The sequence below is a fragment of the Homo sapiens genome, chromosome 13, assembly GCF_000001405.40.
Source record: "Homo sapiens chromosome 13, GRCh38.p14 Primary Assembly".
Taxonomy (NCBI): Eukaryota; Metazoa; Chordata; class Mammalia; order Primates; family Hominidae; genus Homo; species Homo sapiens.
In genome coordinates this window covers 91,717,047-91,739,558 of record NC_000013.11, presented here as the reverse complement: position 1 = coordinate 91,739,558, position 22,512 = coordinate 91,717,047, and the positions used below count along the sequence as shown (strand labels likewise).

The 22,512-nt window shown below is 36.6% G+C and overlaps 1 protein-coding gene across 12 annotated transcripts in view; it reads right to left on the bottom strand.

The window, feature by feature from the left end:
• GPC5 (glypican 5) overlaps positions 1 to 22,512 on the bottom strand; it is a 1,468,617-nt gene that overhangs the window by 1,127,679 nt on the left and 318,426 nt on the right. For 11 of the 12 annotated variants that reach the window (NM_004466.6, XM_017020435.3, XM_011521054.4 and 8 more), the window contains exon 4: positions 10,894 to 11,027. In NM_004466.6, coding sequence (NP_004457.1) covers positions 10,894 to 11,027 — 134 coding nt within the window. Of the gene's footprint in view, positions 1 to 10,855; positions 11,028 to 22,512 lie in introns of all 12 variants that reach the window. The other variant, XM_047430153.1, reaches the window with a different exon arrangement.

Here is a 22,512-nt window from a genome sequence, read left to right as displayed (position 1 = left end):
CTTTCAGATGACCACAGCCCTAGCTGCCTTCTTGACAGCAGTCTCTCTAATGACCCTGAGCATGAACCCCGCAACTAATTAGCTCCCAAATTCCTAACAGAAAATAGGATAATAAATGCTTATGGTTGGTTTAAGCCACTACGTTTTGGAATGATTTGTTAGATTGCAATAGATAAGAAATAATACCAATGGCTCCTATTTGTTGAAGGCAATTTCCCAGGGACTAGAGCAGCTATGAGTTGGAACACAGCAGCCAGGAGGCAGGTAAAAGGGCCAGGTGAAGAGGATATGAGTAGGGCCAACAGCAGCACCCACAACCTTAGTTATTTCTCATATTATATTTGTTCCACTACACTTTCCATACCACTTAGACACAACGTGTAATGTTATGAAGTTAATGAGGGCTCAGTCATGAACTTAACGATGGCTTAGACATTTTCATTTTTAAAATGTTAATTGGCAACAATGTACAATTCAAGACCTTGTGAAAATATTCTTCAAAAATGAAGATGTCTGCAGACAAATGAAAGCTGCAAAAATTCATCACCTGTAATAATCAACAAAAGCTATACTAAGGCTAAAGCAAAAAGATTCTAGATAAACACATGAAACTGGAGAAAAAAACAAGAGCACCAGAAAGGATAAAATGTGTGAGAAATTATAAGTAAGTATTATTATATAGCAGTAGTTGTCCTGGGGATTGTGAAAATATTGGTAAGAGTAAGCTATTTGTTGGTAAAATAGCATAAAAAAAGGGAAGAGGGTAATGGAGTGAAACTATCCTAAGTTTCTTATATTGTTCAATGAAGTAGTAAAAGTTACAATTTAGACAGTAAAAATTAAAAATGCATATTGTGATCTCTATAATAACCATTAAGAGAATAAAGAAATACAAATTTAAAAAGTTATAAAAGGATAAAAATAATAAATATTTGTTAAACTCAAAAGAAGGCAAGAAAGGAGGAATTTTTAAAAAAGACATGCAGTAAAGAGAAAAAAAAGAGCAAGACAGCAGTCTTAAGCCCAGCTACCTTCAGGATATTGTATGTTTCTGTATACAAAAGGATTAAATATTCCAATGATAAAGACTGATTTATCACCACTTAATAAATACTGTTGGCCTACACCCAAAAAAAGGTAGCTAGTTAAATTAGTTATAAGTCAACCACGGTTATGGTGAGGCATAACCATGTGCATAGGACACAACACCCCAAAATATAACTGTAGGAGACCAGAATATGCCACCCCAAAATATAACTTTTTGTCATTTTGATTACTTTGAACTGGTTATTTTGAGAAACTGAAGACACAGGAAAGGCTCTGAAAACCTGCTCTTTTGTAAAAGAAGTTTACATCTATAAAGAAAATTTTCCTTAGTAAAGGTATCTGAATCAGGAAGAGAACTTCTAGGAGACCTAGTTTGTCTTTATCACCAGTGCGAAGTTTACCTGTGTAACAAGGCAAATTTTATTTCCCATCCCTTTCCTCCACTCACCCTCTCAATAGTTTGTCTTCACTACCCACTAGAAGATCCAGCTCTGTATTCCTTTCTTTAGCTCAGGATGCTATATAAGCTTCAATTACCTGGCCTTTCCTTAAGCCCCATATTTTTGTGGGACTCCCATTCCTATATATGTAATTAAAATCGTTTTTCTATTAATCTGCCTTATATTAATTTAATCTGTACTCCAGCTAAAGAATTTCAGAGTGTGGAAGGAAGACATTTTCCCCTCCCTGACAATTATATTAACATTACCTCAAAAGAATAGGTTGAATACTGGAAGACTAAAATATAAATTAAATTCTTCCTCTGTCACAAAGACCTGAAATAGTTTTTCTAAATTAGGGTGCCATATCTCTAACATAATTTTAAACAACAAAATTTTCATAATACACAAAATCTAAAGTATAAACTATGACAATATAATTTGAAAAGGTTATGCCTTATTTATAATGTAAAATGCATCTTTAATTTTTGGCAAACATAGAATAGTGTTTATTTTCATTTATGTTGGCAAAGACGCTGATGGATTTTACAATTCCTATTTTTTCAGCTATTACAGAAACTAAGCTATGGAAACTGCTAAATTATTTTGTTTCATAGCTTTCCTTTAATGGTTTTGGTTTGGTTTAAATTTATAGAAAGTAGTTTCTGCTAGAGGTATTCTCTTGGGAATTACTCAAAGTAAATTTTAAAAAAGGATACCTGAGGAAAACTATTGTTAAACAAATATTATAGGCCATTGTTTTGAACTGAACTCTTGCACTAGGCCTCAACAGACCAGCCTAAACCAAAATGGAATCAGTCATGCTAAATGCCATATCATCAAACTGAAACTTTAAGGAAACAGATCCCAAAACAGACCACTTTTTCCTAAAAACAGGAGATTCCAGGAAATCTGAGTCACTGTAATAAGGAAGTCCCCTCTGCTTTAACCCTTTTAAAAAGTAATCTGAGACGGAGTCTCGCTCTGTTGCCCAGGCTGGAGTGCAATGGCATGATCTCAGCTCACTGAAAGCTCCGCCACCCAGGTTCACGCCATTCTCCTGCCTCAGCCTCCCGAATAGCTGGGACTACCATCAAAAATAATAATAATAATAATAATAATCTGAAGTAACCTGATGTTAACCAATCAGTTTATTTTATTTTATTTTTTCCTATTGTTCTGTTTTCTCATTTCCACCTTACAAAACCCACTGTCCTGAACTTGCCCAGTGGGAGTTCTCATTCCATTTTCTGGAATAGAGGATTCTCTCATTCATGAATCACAAATAAAAGCCAATTAGATCTACAACTAAATTTGTTGTAATTTTTTCTTTTAACACTATTGAGGATATACAACTAATTAATAAAACTAACTTAGAAAATATTAATTTTTACTTCCCTTTTGTATGAATTACACAAAGCAGTGGTTTTGTTAATAATTTGGATGTTTTCCTTGTCTATTTTTTTAAGTAATCTTTCCTTTTATTTTAATTAATGGGTTATAGTAGGAAATCCAAACAAGTCAACAACTGTTCTCAGTCATTTATATTTTATCTCTGTGTGGATGGTCACTGTATCTACAATACAGTATAATAAAAAAAGATCTACATTCAGCATATGAGATGGCAAAAAAAAGATTGTGGAAAAATTGAGTATTATTAGCTTTCACGAAAATTTTGACAAGGGAGTTTGAACTACTTTTTAATTAGAAGAACTTGATTTTAAAAAACACTTTTCATCTAAACTTTAAAATAATTGTGTGTGTTAATATGTATGCATATATAAACACACCTATATTTTCTCAGATACAGAAGGTTCAGTTAAGCATATTCCTCAATTCCTGCCATACTATCACAATTTACCCTTGAACATTCCTGCTTTATTATTTTATTATCTTAATTTTTTAATTCATCCCTCACCCTCTTTCTTTTCTATAAATACTCATTCTAATGTATATAATATAAATACTCTGCTATATCCCATCCTTGAAAATATATACTGATTTTATTTAATAATGTTTTTAATTCATATAATGGCATTGTACTATTGTTCTCATTCTGCACAATGTGTTTTCTCTGTAATCTCAATGAGATTTTTTGCTGTATGAAAATGTGTTCATTGCTTCTGACTGCTTCATAATGTTCCAAAGTCTTATATTTTACTTTTCCATTTTTCCTAGATGTGGATAGTTTGCTTCTAATGCTCAGCTATCACAAATAATCAAGAATGCCTCCTCTGGGTATAAGCAAGTTTCCTTAGGACACATCCTAAGTAGTAGACTCTAGTGCATAGGGTATGTGAGTTTTGCCAGGTGCAGCAGGAGGAAACTGTACCAGTGCACAAAATGATCATCCACACAGAAAACCTAATATGATCAAAAGGCCAACCATTAGAAACAGAGTTCAGAAAAATAGCCATTTATAGCATTATCCTAATATCTTTGTTCAAATCAATCTATATAGTCAATATAACTCCAATTGAAATCCAACAAAAAGATACTATATTTTGAAAACTAAATTTCAAAATATCTAAGAGAATTTTGAAAATGAGAGTAAATATAGTGACTTACCTTACAAGATTTTATAAAATCCTTAAAAGCAAAAGCAATTGCAATAACAGAAATCAGTAAAAATCTGCAGAAAACAACTACTGACTTATTAACAGACGATAGGCCAGTATAATTACATGAACTTAGAATGAGTGTGAGGTGAAAGAAAAGAACACAAAGGGGGAAAGGATGGACTGTTTTAGGGTTTTTTGGGGAAATTGGATCAGAATATGGAAAATTTGACTTGGAAACTTACCTTATATATACAGATATATTCCCTATGTATTATGTATAATAAGAGAAAAAACCATAGAGCTAGTAGAAAAAATATAGTAGAATCTCTTTTTGAGTTGATGCAGGCAAGAAATTTTAAACAAAAAAGAAAACTTGATAACCTTGATATCAAAGTTAAGAATTTATATTTAACAAGGTCATCTTAGACTAAGTTACTAATCACTTTATTTTATTTTACATTAAATGAACTATTTTCTTAGATAAAAAATGTTTTCAATGTCTAAAAGGAACAAATTAATATATGGAATATAAAAAGGAACTTCTACCAATAAATACATTTAATCTGAAAAAAAATCTAGTAGAAAACCCAGCTAACACTGAAAAGGAAATTCAGATAAAACAGAAAAAAAATAGAAATATGGTAATGCATTTTTCAAAAACTATAGTTAATGTTAAGAACGATAAGAAAATAACTCATCCATGAAACAAGAATGGGATGTGAATTTAAAAAGAGACCAATGAAAAATATTTGGAAATTAAAGATATGAAAAGAAACATCACTTTATTCACCACCAAAGGAATTCAGTCTTTCACCCAGTTCCCAGTTCACACATCAAAGCACCTTGACTGAAGGCTGGGATCCCTTGAGAAAGAACCTTGCATAAGTAAAACCACTATGTAATATAAATCTTCCTCCATCCATTCCCTACAGGGACCTGTGGCTATTTTCCTTCCAGGAATTATTAGACACTACCTCTGTACTGACTTTTATCCCAAAGACCCAGAATACCATTATCCTGTGAGTCTAAATAGAGGCTTACAGAGGTCAAATGAAAATCGAGTTTTAGGCTCAATCTGTCTCACATTGGGACATTCAGTCCACAGACCCACCCTGTAGTTATTTCACACTCCTGAACACAGATTTGAACTAGACATACTTACCCATCGCACAATCCCCATAAAGAGTCCCCAACTCACGGAGTGAACGCCAAATTGAAATTCCTGAAATTCGGGCCAATATCCCTGATGAACATCAATATGAAAATCCTCAATAAAATACTGGCAAATTGAATCCAGCAGCACATTGAAAAACTTATCTACCACAATTAAGTCACCTTCATCCCTGGGATGCAAGGCTGGTTCAACATACGCAAATCAATAAACATAATCCATCACATAAAAGAACCTATGACAAAAACCACATGATCATCTCAACAGATGCAGAAAAGGCCTTCAATAAAATTCAACATCCCTTCATGTTAAAAACTCTCAATAAACCAGGTATTGATGGAACATATCTCAAAATAATAAGAGCTATTTATGACAAACCCACAGCCAATATCATACTGAATGAGCAAAAGCTGGAAGCATTCCCTTTGAAAATGGGCATAAAACAAGGATGCCCCTTCTCAACACTCTTATTCAACACAGTATTGGAAGTTCTGGCCGGGGCAATCAGACAAGAGAAAGAAATAAAGGGTATTCAGATGGGAAGACAGGTATTAACTTGTCTCTGTTTTCAGATAACATGATTCTATATTTAGAAAACCCCATCATTTCAGCCTAAAACTCCTTAAGCTGATAGGCAACTTCAGCAAAGTCTCAGGATAAAAAAATCATTGTGCAAAAATCACAAGCATTCCTATAACTCAACAATAGACAAGGAGAGAGCAAAATCATGAATGAAATCCCATTCACAATTGCTACAAAGAGAATAAAACACCTAGGAATACAGCTAACAAGGGATGTGAAGGACCTCTTCAAGGAGAACTACACACCACTGCTCAATGAAATAAGACAGGACAAAAACAAATGGAAAAACATTCCATCCTCATGGATATGAAAAATCAATATAGCAGGCCATGCCCGGTGGCTGACGCCTGTAATCCCTGCACTTTGGGAGGCTGAGGTGGGCAGATCATAAGGTCAGGAGTTTGAGACCAGCCTGGCGAACATGGTGAAACCCCATCTCTACTAAAAATACCAAAATTAGCCAGGTGTGGTGGTGCATGCTGTAATCCCAGCTACTCGGAAGCTGAGGCAGGAGAATTGCTTGAACCTGGGAGGCGGAGGTTGCAGTGAGCCGAGACTGTGTCACTGTACTCCAGCCTGGGCGACAGAATGAGACTGTCTCAAAAACAAAACAAAACAAAACAAAAATTGTGAAAATGGCCATACTGCCCAAAGTAATTTACAGATTTAATGTTATTCCCATCAAACTACCATTGACATTCTTCACAGAATTAGAAAAAACTACTTTAAATTTCATATGGAACCAAAAAGAGCCCGTATAGCCAAGACAATCTTAAGTAAAAAGAACAAAGCTGGAAGCATCACACCACCTGACCTCAAACTATAGTACAAGGCTACAGCAACCAAAACAACATGGTACTGGTACCAAAACAAATATATAGACCAATGGAACAGAGCAGAGACCTCAGAAATAACACCTCAAATCTACAACCATCTGATCTTCACCAAACTTGATAAAAACAAGCAATGGGAAAAGGATTCCCTATTTAATAAAAGGTGCTGGGAAAACTGGCTAACAATATGCAGAAAACTGAAACTGGACCCCTTCCTTACACCCTATATAAAAATTAACTCAAGACAGATTAAAACTTAAATGTAAAACCCCAAACCATAGAAACACTAGAAGAAAACCTAGGCAATACCATTCAGGACATAGGCATGGCCAAAGACATCATGATAAAAACACCAAAAGCAATTGCAACAAAAGCCAAAATTGACAAATGGGATCTAATTAAACTAAAAAGCTTCTGCACAGCAAAAGAAACTATCATCAAAGTGAAAAGGCAACTTACAGAATGGGAGAAAATTTTTGCAATCCACCCATCTGACAAAGGTCTAATATCCAGAATCTACAAACTTCAATTTACAAGAAAAAAAAAAAAACATCAAAAAGTGGGCAAAGGATATGAACCGACATTTTCAAGAGAAGACATTTATGCAGCCAACAAACATATGAAAAAAACCTCAACATCACTGATCATTAGAGAAATACAGCTCAAAATCACAATGAGATACTATCTCACGCCAGTCAGAATGGCGATCATTAAAGAGTCAGAAAACAACAGATGCTGGAGAGGCTGTGGAGAAATAGGAATGCTTTTACACAGTTGGTGAAAGCATAAATTAGTTCAACCATTGTGGAAGACAGTGTGGTGCTTCCTCAAGGATCTAGAACCAGAAATACCATTTGACCCAACAATCCCACTACTGGGTATATACCCAAAGGATTATAAATCATTCTACTTTAAAGACACATGCACATGTATGTTTATTGCAGCACTATTTACAATAGCAAATACATGGAATCAATATACAAATGTCCATCAATTATAGACTAGATAAAGAAAATGTGGTACATATACACCATGGAATACTATGCAGCCATAAAAAGGAATGAGACCGTGTCCTTTTCAGGGACATGGGTGAAGCTGGAAGCCATCATCCTCAGCAAACTAACACAGGAACAGAAAACCAAACACCGCATGTTCTCACTCCTAAGTGGGAACTGAATAATGAGAACACATGTATATAGGGAGGGGAACATCACACAGCAGGGCCAGTCGGGGTGGGGAGCAAGGAGAGGGAGAGCATGAGGACAAATAGCTAATGTATACAGGACTTAAAACCTAGAGGACAGGTTGATAGGTGCAGCAATCCACCATGGCACACATACACCCATTTAACAAACCTACACCTTCTGCACTTTTATCCCAGAACCTAAAATAAAAGAAAATAAAATAAAGGAAAAGAAAAATAAAATAAACCACCTAAAAGTTGAGCTGAACACAATAAAAAAAAGACATTCCTCTCCTGACAAAAATACTAAAACAAAAATGTATCATATCCCTGTGGAATTGCTGAGATTAGGGCCACTTCAAAAACATGAAAAACACAGTGGTGATGATTCCTAACACCTCGCTACTTACCTCGCCTATTTGGCTGGTCTGTGCACACTGAGATGGACTTGGTGAAGGTTGGCTTATCAGAAACAGAGTCAGAGGGTGACTCCAATTACAGATGTTCCTTTATACGTGGTGACTACTTGGGCAAATCCAAATATGTCCTGACACCTGCTATGCAGCTAATGATTTGGCAAATTCTTTTACCTCCTTACCAATTAGTAAGGACAGTTGGAAATAATTCACTTTTAGCTGGCAAGGACCCCTTCACTGTTAGATGTCAAAAACTTTCCCAGTCCATGGTAGACAGGAGCCTTGATTGTCTAGATATCCTGTGGGACATAATGCTGACAATAAAATATGGATCACATCACCCAAATGTCTTAGTAGACATATTTGTGCCTCTGTGGTGGAAAGTACTGACATTTCCAGTGCTTGACAATTCAGCAATGTTTCTAAATGTGGCCTGGATGTTACTGGGATATTCTTCTTATATAAAAGGAAAATTTCTGCACCTAAGATAACCTAAAACTCAGGAAGAGATAGAGTGCTTTTTAGATTCCTTTACATACTAGAAAAAAATCATATTATTCACTTTGGTGTGTTGCTCTAGCCCATTTACAGAATAGCCCAAAAGAGCTTTAATCTGAGAAAGAAAAGGCTCTGTTGCTTACTCATTTGCAAGGTGCTCTGATGGTGAGTCCAGTTAAGCCTGTTTACTTATTCAGTGCTATCTGAAGTTTCATGGCTGTGTGGGTTAGCTGGTTATTTGGTTAGTTGCTTTGCAATTGAGCTCTGGTAGAAACTACACACTTGACCATGACCTAGCAAGTGACCGTGCAACCTGAGATTGCCGTGAAGAACTAAGTACTACCTGATCTGCCAGGCTATAAGACTAGGCTCGAATAGAAGTAATTACAACCAAGTGGAAGTGATCTATTGGAAATCAGGCTCAAGCGGTAGAGAAAGAACAAGGCACACGAGAAGGTAGCCCAGACTCAGCATCCACTCGTGCTACATTGCTCATCTATTTCAATGGAAATTTATGACCTCATGGGGAATAATCAGTTGATGAGGGATACATAAAATTCAGGGTTAGTTTACAGAGAAACCTGTACAATAAATAAGCAACTAGCAGAAATATAATGCCATGGCAATGAAGCCCCTCTAAAGAGTGGTAATAAAAATTAGTGTAAAATTGAAATGCATAAGTGGACTCATGTGCAGTTCCTATGGTTGTTCACTCCGTGTGGCAGGAGACAAGCATGTGTTGGATCTATGCTGATTCATGGACAATGGCTAAACATGGCTGGATGGTCAGGGACATCAAAACAATGAGTTTGCAAGATTGGTGACAAGAAGGTCTATTCAGTGGCCAGGATAGATACTTTTAAAACCTTTCACTTGTATGAGCCCCTTATTGTTCCTGAGCCAGTTTGTAACATTTCACCTGCATTGGTTTCATTTTGCTAGTGAATAGATTATATTAAAGGTTGGGTTTTGTTTTGTTTTCCAACTGGGTTGTTTTGCTGGTGAAATACAACACCTCGAAGGACTTCAGATCTTCTGTAGATGGGTTTTATTATAAAAACACCCTAGACAAAATATACTGATTTTTCAAGTGCAAGAAATGATTGCTGATCATTGTAGGTGTTTAGATAAAAAGAACAGCTACTTTACATGTAAAATAAAATGCTAATTCTTTTTAGCTGTAGAAAATAGCCAGCAATAGCCCAGATCTTTATCCCATGCATACAGCCCATCTGATGAGAGAATGAGGCAATTAGGTGTCCTATCCCAAAAAAGAAAGAAACAGATTTTAGATTATAGAAAGCTTATGTGAAATACCTTATATATGAATTATTCATAGAGTATTATTAGAAATAATTATTTACTAAATGAATATAAAATTCTGAATTTCAGTCCAATTCAAAAAGTACTGACTTAGAATCTAGTGTTTGCCAGGACATACACTGACTGGTCAACTAAACACACACACATATAATAATTTCCTCTAGTTTTAAGAGCTTTACATTTTAAGCATCCATTATCAAGCAAAGGAACACAAAATGAGGCCTGAATTTAACCTGTGAAATATGATGGACACGGTGGTAGAAATGTGAGTTAGCGAGCCCTATGGGATGTGTATTATTTTGAATCAACAGATAACCATTTCTAGCATTTCATGTAAAATTATGAAAACTTCTTCTTATTCAACTTTTTAAAATATATGTTAAACATTCAGTAATACCTATCACATCATGTAAATGTATTATCTTTCTGTCTTTCACTGTCCAATACAATAGCCACTAGCCATATTTACAATTTAAAATTATAATCATCAGTCAGTAGCCACTAGCCACATTTACAATTTAAAATTCAATCCTCAGTCACACTGGTCACATTTTAAGCGTATGATGTCACATGTGCCCAGGGCCCCCAATATGACCTTCCATGTTATATTATGGAAATCTTCCATTATCACAAAAAGTTTTCTTGGTCTTATAAGTGGAACCTGTCTTCCAAATTAATGGAACAGGTGCAGCCACTGATTTTTAAAGTTAATGAATATTGATCCTTTTTTTTTTTGTCCATATTGAATTTTATTCGATTTAATTGAATATGTTCTATTCTGTTGTAAAATTAATGGCTTACTTTCTTTTCTCTTTCTGGTTGTAAAACAAATGTCTTACTTTCTTCTGTTGGCAAGCGTCTCTTCACTGTTCCTTGTGGTGGTCTTCATTCCATGCTTCTCTTTGCTCTGATCAAAAGAACAACGGGGGCTTTGTGTGGGTGTTCTTACAGGGCGGCCACAAATCCTATTTACCTTTTAAATAGAAAACATTAAAAGGTAGTTAGAAATCGTACTCCACCTTTCTGAGAATGTGATGTTTCATAGGGCCCAAAACAATGACACGTTTTTGCTTTCACCTCAATATTAATCTTAAATATAATATGTATATATAATGTTTGTCAATTTTTCTAACAGAGGAAAGTAAATTATCTGAATACGGCAATTATGATAAATGGATGTCATGGACATTTATGTGGTATGCAGTATACATGTGTAAGATACGCAAAATCAGACAACTATATTAATAAACTGACTTATTTGTGTAACATTACTTTACCAAAATAGATATTATTTATGATTTATATGTATAACTAATCACATACTTGTCCTATTTTAAAATGAAATAAGTTGCTGTTGAATATGGGATCCTTTTCTAAATGAATTCCAAGGCCAAAAGCAAATATCTTTGTAGTTTTCTTCTTAACGTCCTTTCTTAGAAATGACGATTAATATTTTTAATATGAAGATCTCCTTGTATAATAGTTCTGCATCTTCTTTCTCAGTCTGGTGTAATTTTAGGGTGTTATTACAGTGTTTTTTAAAAAATAATTTATCCCCATTGAAAAATGTATTGTTTCTTTAATACTTATCCAGTAAAGAGCTCTGTATAATTTACATAATTATCATTGAAAAAATTAAGTAATTATTTTACCATATAAAGCATCAAAAAGATTTATATGATACCTTGTATAATTGAAAAGGCAGAGTAATATAACTGGAAATACGTAAAAGCATTGCCTGGAATCAGGAGACTCTGGTTCTGGTCCTAATTTTTCCTTTCTTTATATTGAGACCTTAAAAATATAACAGAACCTCTTTGAATGTGATTTCCTAATGTGCACAATGAAGAAGTTAGAACAAATTATTCCAAAGTTCCCTTAAAGTTATAAATCTCTTTGATTTTCCATGTAATGAGTATTGAAGAAGCTATGCATCCATTTCATTTATTTTACCCATATTTATTTTATTTCTAGTATTTGCAAAGCACATATATTAAATGTTATAATAGGGAAAATATGAGTAACTAAAGTTTCTCCTAATAGAGCTTGTAATTTAAGAGGGAAGAAATAAAGGAATCCTTCCAATCATCAAAATGCAAGTTGTATGTGTCAAAAAAGTGAGGCTGACAATGGATGTCTGAGAGAGGTGGGATCCTTGCCCAGTGGGGGTGGTGGGTGAAGAAGGATATCAGCAAAGACTACCCCGGGAAAGGCTACTATCCATCGGGATGAGACTTGGAGCATCTGTTGAGCCTGGATATGTTGAGGTTTATTTCAGTTCAATCAGATTAAAAATAAATATCTGTTATACCCTACTATGTTAATTGCTAGAGATACAAATCTGAATAAGGCATGGCCTCATGTACACAGTTGAGATGAAAGTTACACAGGTAAAATAGCAACTGTCATATAACATGACAAGAGCAACCCATTACAAGGATGTCAAAACGTTGTAACACATGGTTCTAGCAACTACACTGTGCATTTGGAACAAGAAGTACATGGTGTGAGAAATGGGTGTAGCAAGAAGAGGTAAGGCTGGTGTGAAAGACATAAACATGCCATCATACGACTTGGATACCGAGCTAAAGGACTTGTGAGAGCAAATGGAATGCAGGCAAAAGCTTCCAAGCAGGGAAAGCGCTGCTTCAGATTTCCACATGAGAAAACTCATCACAGCAGCTGTGCAGATGGAGGAAAAAGGGAGGTCCTTCAGCAGGCCCATGGAAAATGTCAAGGCCAGAAGTCGGCAGAGAAGCAGTAAAATGGAAGGAGTGGATTTCAGAGACGCACAGGAGGGACAAGAGTAGCACTTGGATATGGATTTGATAGAGAGTTTTCTCAGAACAAAGAACAGTGATGATGGGCAAAGGAAAAGTCCTCAGAGGGTAGGTGCCAGAAAACATGAGGCTGACATGGACAATTGACAAAATTTTGCTTTGCTTGGAAAGATGGGTTCCTGACTGGTAAGCATAAAAGGAAATTATATTTAAAGGGTAAGTCAGAGAAAAGATTTTGGAGGGCTTTAAATGCCAGGCTAAGGAGCTTTATTTTTTAGATAAAAGCTCCTGATGGTTGCTCAAAATGTAAAATGCCACAGCTGAAGTTTAGCAAATGCATGAGGCCGCACTGTAGAAGTTGGACTAGAGAGAGAAAACCATTCAAGGCAAGTAAACTGTTAATAGACTTTTCAAGTAGTCCTGAATAAGAAATCTTAATTTTGAACTGCAGTAGTGACAGTGTTCATGAGTTACAGATAGAAGAGAGGCAAAGTCAACAGGGCCGGGCAAATGATTGACAGTGAGAAGTAAAAGAAGCATAAGGATAAGGTGGTAAAAGGCTCAAAGTGAATTTCCACTTTGAAAAATAGTGATAGTGAAGTATAAATCTATTAGAAACGTGCTAAATTATTCACAAAAATGAGGAAAGTATGTTCGCTGTATGTTCATCAACAACTCCTAGTAACAAGAACCCAAGGAAGACGATCTAAGTTGACAGTGGTTTTAAGTGGATAGAGTAAGATTATTTGGCCACACCACAGAACAGTTTGAAATAAAGAAGCAAAGAGGAAGGGAAACAGAATCTGCAATCACGATCCAGTGTGCCTTGTCATAGGGTTTGAGGCAAGTTATGGAACTTCTATGTATCTTAGTTTTCTCATCTTTGAAACTCAAGAAAATAAAACGACTTTGAAGTTATGAGTTCAGAGAAATCTTATCTCATCCTGTCCCTCCCTCGTCAGACCTCAGATTGTAACTGCTATTTATTGAACATGTTTCCTAGGAAGGCAGACTGAGAGCTGAAAAATACCAGCCTTGCAACACCTTTATCCCCATTATCATCTTTGCAATTATTTTTTCAAATACAAAAGAAAATGCTCTAGCCATAGACTTATAAGATATCTTTGATTGTATCCAAAGATAAAAGCATATATAGCTGATTCTAATAAATGCAAGTAAATTTCAAAGCCCTTATATTTGTTGACTTGCTATGAGGGAGATTAACTTCATACTTTATTGAAAAGAAAAGGAAAACCATCTGTTATCAGGACACTACCCTGTCACCTCAGCTCCCTAGAGGTGAGCCAATTTGGGTGGCACCTTTCAATACTAGTACCTTCTTGCCATTGAAAAAACCTTCACACTTACGTTGACAATTTTTCGTCTCTGACTTATACTGCAATTTCCTTCTTAATTCTCCTCCCTGGTCTCTACCATTTTCCCCTGCAATCAGTCTGAAATGTCTTGGAAAAAATTGTTTTCCTCCCTAATGCTTATCTACTCCGGTTTTCAGTTCCTTCCCAGGCTTCCCACTGATTTTCAAGTTCCCATCTCACCTTGAAATGACTCTCTTAGTTGCTCCTAGCCCATATCACTTCCACCATTCTGATCAAGTATTTGTTTCAACAACTGCTTGTCACTTAGCTGACTTTCCCCATTCTCACTGTAATCTTGGCACTACGTGCAAAAGCACAAACTTATCTTTAGAGCCTCCCCCAACTGTGCACTCAGTCTTATTCAAATGTTCAGATTTTCAAAGCATTTTACAAAAAAACTTTGTAAAGAATAACTTCAATTGTTTATTTTCATTAGACTCAAAAAGCGGAGCTCCTCTTTCTTTTTGTTTTTGTTTTCTTTCTTTTTTTTTCCAGACAGGATCTCACTCTGTCGCCCAGGCTGGAGTGCAGTGCCATGATCATGACTCACTGCAGCCTTGACCTCCCTGGCTCAAGCAATCCTCCCACCTTGGCCTTACAGAGTAGCTGGACTATAGGCGCATGCCACCATGCCTGGCTTATTTTTTATCCTTTTATTTTTTTGTAGAGATGGGATCTCACTATGTTGCCAGGGCTGGTCTCAAACCCCTGGCCTCAAGTGATCCTCCCACCTCAGCCTCCCAAAATGCTGGAATTACAGGCATGAGACACCGTGCCTACCCCATAGTCTCCATTTCTTTTGCAATGGTACTTCCTTAATGTTTATTAATAATAATACAAGTTGAAAAGCAAAAATGTTTAGAATATTACAAATTGAAAAGGAAATTACAAATTGAAAAAAAAAAGGAGGTAGTTCGAGTGATTATTAAGCACACTGGGTTAGAGGAGGAGGCACAGGCTCACTTCACAGTCCCTTGGATGTCAGGGTAACTGATTGCTTTGCTTCAGGCCACATCTGGGATGCTTGGTGTTAACAGAGAGGCGGTTAATAGATTACATAAGGCATGAGTCTGCATGTATCCTTGATAATAATAATGATACATAAATAAAATAAGAAACAAAGTAGTTTGTGGACACATGTGCTGTGCTCCATTATATTAAATAACTCATATCATTATATTAAAAGCTAATTTTAAACTGTCCAGAGGAACTATGCTATTGGTAATTTTTTCTGTTATAACAACAAATTTGAGTTTATTTTCTCATGTTCAGTTCCCTTATGATTCTGAGAACTAGTTTCTAAAATTGCTGGCTGATTTTAGGGGTAAAATCTGTTCCCACAAATCTGTTCTTCTCAGTGTTGGAGAAGCTAATTCTTCAACACAGAGAGAAAGTCCACGATTTTAGTTTTATTTCAATGAGAACAAATTTAGGAAGGTAGTAAGTTGGGCCAGGTCACTATGGGGGCAGAGGTAATGTCCCAGATACATTAGATTTGGATTTTATTTTTCAGACTATTGTACTATATTAATAACTAATGGGCAAGGGAACAGAATTATCAAAGCCCTGTTTTAGAAAGATCTGCTATAGTCATTGCAATCAACAAAGGGACTATTCCAATAGGTGAGGTAAGAGAATATTGGAATAAACTCAGAACCAGTGAAATCAGAGAGGAAAAGGGAAAGTTCCTTTATGAGTGCAGTGAATGGTATTTGACTAGGGGTTGACTCCCTATATAAGGTAAGAATGAAGAAGTTAAAGCTCTTGGTGGTTTTAAACCTAGTAATCGGGATGATTAAAGAGCCAGACACTGATATATGGAAGTTAGAAGGTAGAACAAATTTAGTTTATGGTGTACCTGTTTTTTTTTTGGAGGGAGAGATTAATTCTCATTTTGAGCTTTAATTGTGAGGTAATTTCTAAAAGACAGCTCTAAATAATAGATTGGAGATCAAAACCAAGTTAATGAATAGAATTGCATGCATAGAGCCAATAGTTAAACCCATGCAAATAGATGAAATCATAAAATGTATATAAAATGTAAATGGCAGAAGGAAAATCTTTCAGATGCAGGAGAAAGAGAACTCGTATAATATACTGTCCCCACCCCACAAAAAAGGAGGAGGAGAAGAGCTTTTACTATGTTGCTACGTTTGTATCAATAGAAATGAAAAAAAAATAAATAAAAATAAGTGATTACAAAATATTATGCCCTAAAACTATGAAACAACTGCCATCCAAATAGTAGATATGCTACATTCAAGGTACAAATAATTCCATAAGCCAGGTACGGAAAACATATAAAAGTTATAACCATAATACCACTTTTAAAACACTAGTACATTCTAGTATTGCAACAAGGAATATTTATAGGAAGTTATAAATTATTAAGACTCCATAAAGCACTGCCTTTAAACAAGCTACCCATAAGGAAAATTCCAAATTTGTACAAGGTGCCCAGTTCTTGGGGAAAACCAAATAAAGTAATGTTAAGGTTAAGTAAGAGAGGAAACACATACTATCTCTGCTTGGCAAGAATTAGAGGTATGTTTATGCTATGGTTAGCAAAGAGTAAAGAAGGTCTTCTGTTTAAAGTGTTTACTTGGAGGCATGGATCCTTTCAGTTTTCCACAAGTTGCTTCTCCACATGGATTTCTGCTAGATATTGTCATAAATTTTCCCATTCTAACTCATATTATATTTTGAATTAAGGAAAAGAATAAGGAGGAAGAGGCAGAGGAAGGGAAAGACAGGGAGAAGCAGAAGCACGTTTTAATAATCTCCTATTGGCCCCACTGTGAAAAGAATCTTGATTCCACGTTGCTATTTTTGCATTCCTATATATTAAACCACCAGAGGGCGCTTCTGCATTTCATTCCTATTCATAATTATTAATTAAACTTACTGTATGGGTCCATTTAAAGCATTTAGTTCAGGCTCTTAAAGGAAAATCCAACTTGTAAGCCCAAGTGACAAGTGCTTAGATATGAGAAATCTTCAGAAAAATCTAGTCTTTTATGGAAAACCACCAGGCTGAGGCTGCAGGGCCAATGTCGTTAAATAAGAAATGGAAAACCAACCCATAATTGTAGACTAATTTGTCCAGACTGAGCTCTCTCAAAGTCAGGAATAGAGATACTGAGAATTGACCAAGGATTTCAATTATTTCCCCTTTTTCTCTTTCTCTCTTTTTCTTTCCTTCCTGATTTCCAGTTTTAAAGATGCCTTTGTTTAAGAAGTTCAAAGACTGAAAGCCAAATCAATTTTTGTTCTTGTTTAGCTGCAGATGACAATGTCAATCAATACACTGAGCCCTCATTATTGGTAGGACATTATTGTAGTAGATGGGAATAGAGCAAGGAACCTTCTCTCTAGGAGCTTATATTCCAGTGAGAAAACTAAAATTATGACATTAAATAGACAACTTTAAGTCTTGATGAATGTTATTTAGTTAAGAATGCATCATTGGTAGTGGAATGGGGTAGAGTGGGGGTGGGGTGCTCCAGCCAGGTGGTCAATTGGTTTAAATACTATTTTCTACTTGTTTGGAAAGTAGTATTTAGGTTATGTTCTGAATAATGTTAACAAACAGCCATGGGAAGATCACAGGGAAAAACTTTATATGCAGAGAGAACAACTCTAAAATAGAAGAGAAAGAAAGGCCACTGAAACTGAAAAATGCCACATAGTACTGGGGAGCCTAGGGGGATGAGGCAAGAGGCAGACTGGCCAGATCATCGGGTAGTTTCCCACATGCTCTGCCAAGGGCTAAATTTGTGTTCTAAGTGGGCTCTGAAGTAACTGGAGAATTTTGAGCATGGCAGTAACATGATCTCTTTTATGTTTCAAAAAAAATATCACACTGGCTGTCATTTGGAGAGATGTATGCACAGGGCATAAGAAAATGGACAAGAGGCTGGGCACGGTGGCTCACGCCTGTAATCACAACACTTTGGGAGGCTGAGGCAGGCAGATCGCATGAGGTCAGGAGTTCGACACCAGCCTGGCCAACACGGTGAAACCCTATCTCTACTAAAAACACAAAAATTAGCCAGGCATGGTGGCAGGCACCTGTAAGTCCAGCTACTCAAGGGGCTGAGACAGGAGAATTGCTTGACCCTGGAAGGTGGAAGCTGCAGTGAGCTGAGATTGCACCATTGCATTCCAGCCTGGGCAACAAGAGTGAAACTCAGTCCCCCCACCCAAAAAAAGAAAGAAAGAAAGAAAGAAAGAAAGAAAGAAAGAAAGAAAGAAAGAAAGAAAGAAAGAAAGAAAGAAAGAAAGGGAAGGAAGGAAGAAAGAAAATGGACAAGATAAAAATAGTGAATCCAGCTATGAAGTTTTGAGTGTGTTTCAGGGGAGAGATGATGTTGCCTTTGCTAAGGGTGGTCTATGAGGACTGAGATCCAGTTGGAAGATCTATCTATCTGGATCTATCTGTCTATCTATCTGGATCTATTTATTGAAGGAGGAGACAGCAGAACTTGAGGGGTGGATTAAACATAGCAAGTGAAAGAAAGACAGATTCATGAATCTCTGGTATCTTTTGTCTGAAGCGACTGGGCACATGAAGGTATCATTAAATGAGATAGAGAAGACTAAAGGAAGAGATTTGGGAAGAAATTAAGTCTCTCTTGGACATATTTGGCTTCCTATGACAATCACTCATCCAAGAGGAGCTGTCCAATATGCTGTTAGTTACCTGAACTGAAAGCTCAAGGGAGAGATCAGGCAAGGTACAAAAATGTGGTTTTCAACAGCAGGCAGTTGGATGAGCATAGGGGAAAGACAGTGCTGAAGACTGATTCTTGGGCATTCCAACATTTAGATGTGGAGACCAAAGGAAGTTGAAAATGATTCTGAGATGAAGCTCAAGGAGAAGTAAGGCAATCTCAGAAGAGTGAGTTATCTCAAACTACAAATGCAGAAAGCATTTATTGTTGTTTTTAAAGATTAAATGATTAAATGTTTCAAAAGCTACTGAAAATGCAAGTAAAATGAAGACTAAAATTCATCATTGGCTCTAATCAGAAGAACACTATCAGTGATTCGTGGAAAGTGTAGTTTCAGCACAGAGTCAGGTAAGAAAGCACAGTGATCAGTGGGGGTGCAAGAGATAAAGATAAATAAGAAATACACAAATCATTCACGGAATTTTGGAGAAGGAAGGCAGATTTATGGGACAAAGCCTAGAGAAGGGATGGAATCTAGTGAGATTCTGTTTTGTTTTGTTTTTTGGGGGGACAGTAGCCATTACCACATGATTATATTTTTAATGTAGAGACCTCGTTTCATATAATTTGATCCAAAATACTTCTATTGCAAAACAAGTGAGACAACATTTTCCATAGTGTGGAAGTGTCAGGGAGACATGCAGTTTAAACATATAACCTGAATTTGACATGCCTTTCTTTATAGCTTTATCCAAGGCTGATTAGAATTGTATTCACCTGCTTTGAAGGTACTAGATCATCTAAATGGAGATTTAGTAAAGAGAGAAATAAGAGAAAAAAAAAATGAGGGAGAAGAGTAAGTACATTGAACATTTCCATAAGATAAAGTGATTTTGGAATTAGAAATAAAGGAGTAGAATATATTTTATTCTAAAATTGGCAAAAACACCCATAAGTCCATCACCCCTTTTTATATTAGCTGTCTTTTTCCAATGAATTTTTACATGACAATTTTATATTCTTCTTTTTCAATTAAAATTGCATTGCAAACAGTTTCCTAAACCATAGATCTATTTTGTGAATATCATGTCAATAACTGAATAAAAGTAAAAATAATGGAGTAAGTTAGCTGGAATGGTAGGAAATAATGACCATAATGTGAGATATCTGACTTGCAGATTTCAGAGATAGTGCAGGTATTGGTGTTGGATTTGAGAAGGCAGAAGAAATCAGACACACAGGTTGGAATAATGATCTTGGATAATGCAAAAGTCTTCAGCTCCTGATGGTCACTGGTATAAACAGGAAAGTAAGGCTTCATAGACTTGATCCTAGCAGTCAGAGCACACATATTCAAGGACCTAGGGGCGGCTGGAGGGTCATGGCAGCTTGCACATCTGTGGAGGCAGGCCAAGACTTTGGCAGCAGTCAGCAGGATGCTGACTCACCAGAGCAAACGGGCAACTGCAGATTCTAGAACACGTGCTATTGACCTTAATCAATTCACTTGCAAGCTCTGTCCATCCTTTGACATTTGCAAAATAGACATACTTGATTCACATGCAGCTGTGATGTGAGGATTTGGTAAATAAATAAGTAAATAAATAAATAAATGTAGGTTTTTTTTTTCTCTTTAACTGTGTGAAGTATTATCAATAATGGCAATAAAAACTGGAAATAAAATACATTTTGCCCTCTAATTTCTTATCTTCAAAGAGTTTATACTCTAGTTAGGGAGGTAGAATTTCTAAGTATGAAATGTATTGATAATTATATAAAGTTAACTTCAGTACAATAGAAACACCATCTCAATGGGGTACAAAGTATGTGCCAAAGAAATGCTATAAGCCATGAGTGGTATAGGAGCCAGAGAAAATCACTGGGAACCAGGGTCTTCAGGGAAATCTTTAGATAAACCCTGAATAATTAGTGGAAAGAAAAGAGAGGAATTCTACCCTGAGGGCAAGAGTATGCAGATGGGGGTAGAATTCCAAACTGTGCTATTAATTTGGTTATACTCGGGAAAGCTTGATTCAATCACATTTTTAAATATGGTGTCCAAGAAAATATAATAATTTTCCTCACATGACCATTGAGCTTTGTGATATTTTAAACCCTCATGAGTTAGGTAGCACCACAAACTACAAAACTCTTCTTCATCAAGAGAAGAAAGCCAGCTACTACAATATCAATACTGAGGTTGTGAGAAACCACAGAGAAGGGAAAAAAAAGCCACTGGGAAGCAAGTTTAAGATTAGGGGAAAGTGGCCAGGCTCAGTGGCTCACGCCTGTAATCCCAGCACTTTGGGAGGCCAAAGCGGGTGGATCACGAGGTCAGGAGATTGAGACCATCCTAGCTAACATGGTGAAACCCCATCTCTACTAAAAATACAAAAAATTAGCCACGCGTGGTGGCAGACGCCTGTAGTCCCAGCTACTCCAGAGGCTGAGACGGGAGAATGGCATGAACCGGGGAAGCGGAGCTTGCAGCGAGCCGAGATCGCGCCACTGCACTCCAGCCTGGGCTACAGAGAGAGACTCCATCTCAACAACAACAACAACAACAACAACAACAAAGATTAGGGGAAAGTGGGAGGCTAAGTAATATCTCTAGACATGTAAAATCAAAATTTGACCATTTCATTTATCAGTGGGTGTAAGAATCCTACATTGAAAAAGCAATTTTTTAAAAATAATAACTAGATAAAAGCAAAATGGAGAAGAAATCGATATGACCATATTTTCTCTACTCTTCCAAAGCTGAAAATGTATGAAGATGCTCTAGAAACAGCACCAGCTAGGGGTTTAAAATGTGCAAGCAGGCCAGGCGCGGTGGCTCACGCCTGTAATCCCAGCACTTTGGGAAGCCGAGGTGGGCAGATCACAAGGTCAGGAGTTCGAGACCAGCCTGGCCAATATGGTGAAACCCCATCTCTACTAAAAATACAAAAATTAGCCGGGCATGATGGCAGGCATCTGTAGTCCCAGCTACTCGGGAGGCTGAGACAGGAAAATCGCTTGAATCCCGGAGGTGGAGGTTGCAGTGAGCCAAGATCCCGCCATTGCACTCTAGCCTGGATGACAAGAGTGAAACTCCGTCTAAAAAAAAAAATGTGCAAGCAAAGGCTGTTCTGCTTTCATCAGGTATCTCGCCTTTTCACTTCCCCGCTCCTGCACTGGAATTTCCTTCACTCAAGAGTGAGCTTTCCCTAGCTCTTCTCAGATAGATGGAAGGGCTACCTTGCCGACTTTCTCTCCAACACTCTCTCAGCTCTAATCCTTCCCTCCAGGTCCCCCAATTAATCTTCCTAAAGCACAGTTCTGATCAAACTGCTCTGAACCAAAGCCTTTGGTGGTTCTTCCCATCTCCTAATGAGGACAAACCAAATTATTTCATGTGAATTTACAGCTGAAGCTGGAAATTTCCCAGCACTCCACTTTGAGTATCCTACACTTCAGCTAAATTGTGTTACAGTCTCCGGAGTCACCCTGTACTTTTCAGTCTCTACTTTTCTTTTTTTCTCCTTGCCTGTTTCCACTTCTTCAGATGTGTTTAAAATATCACCTATGAAATTAAATTGCTCTCGATCTCTCAACTTGAGTTTATTTATCAACCTTGCCAGCATTTG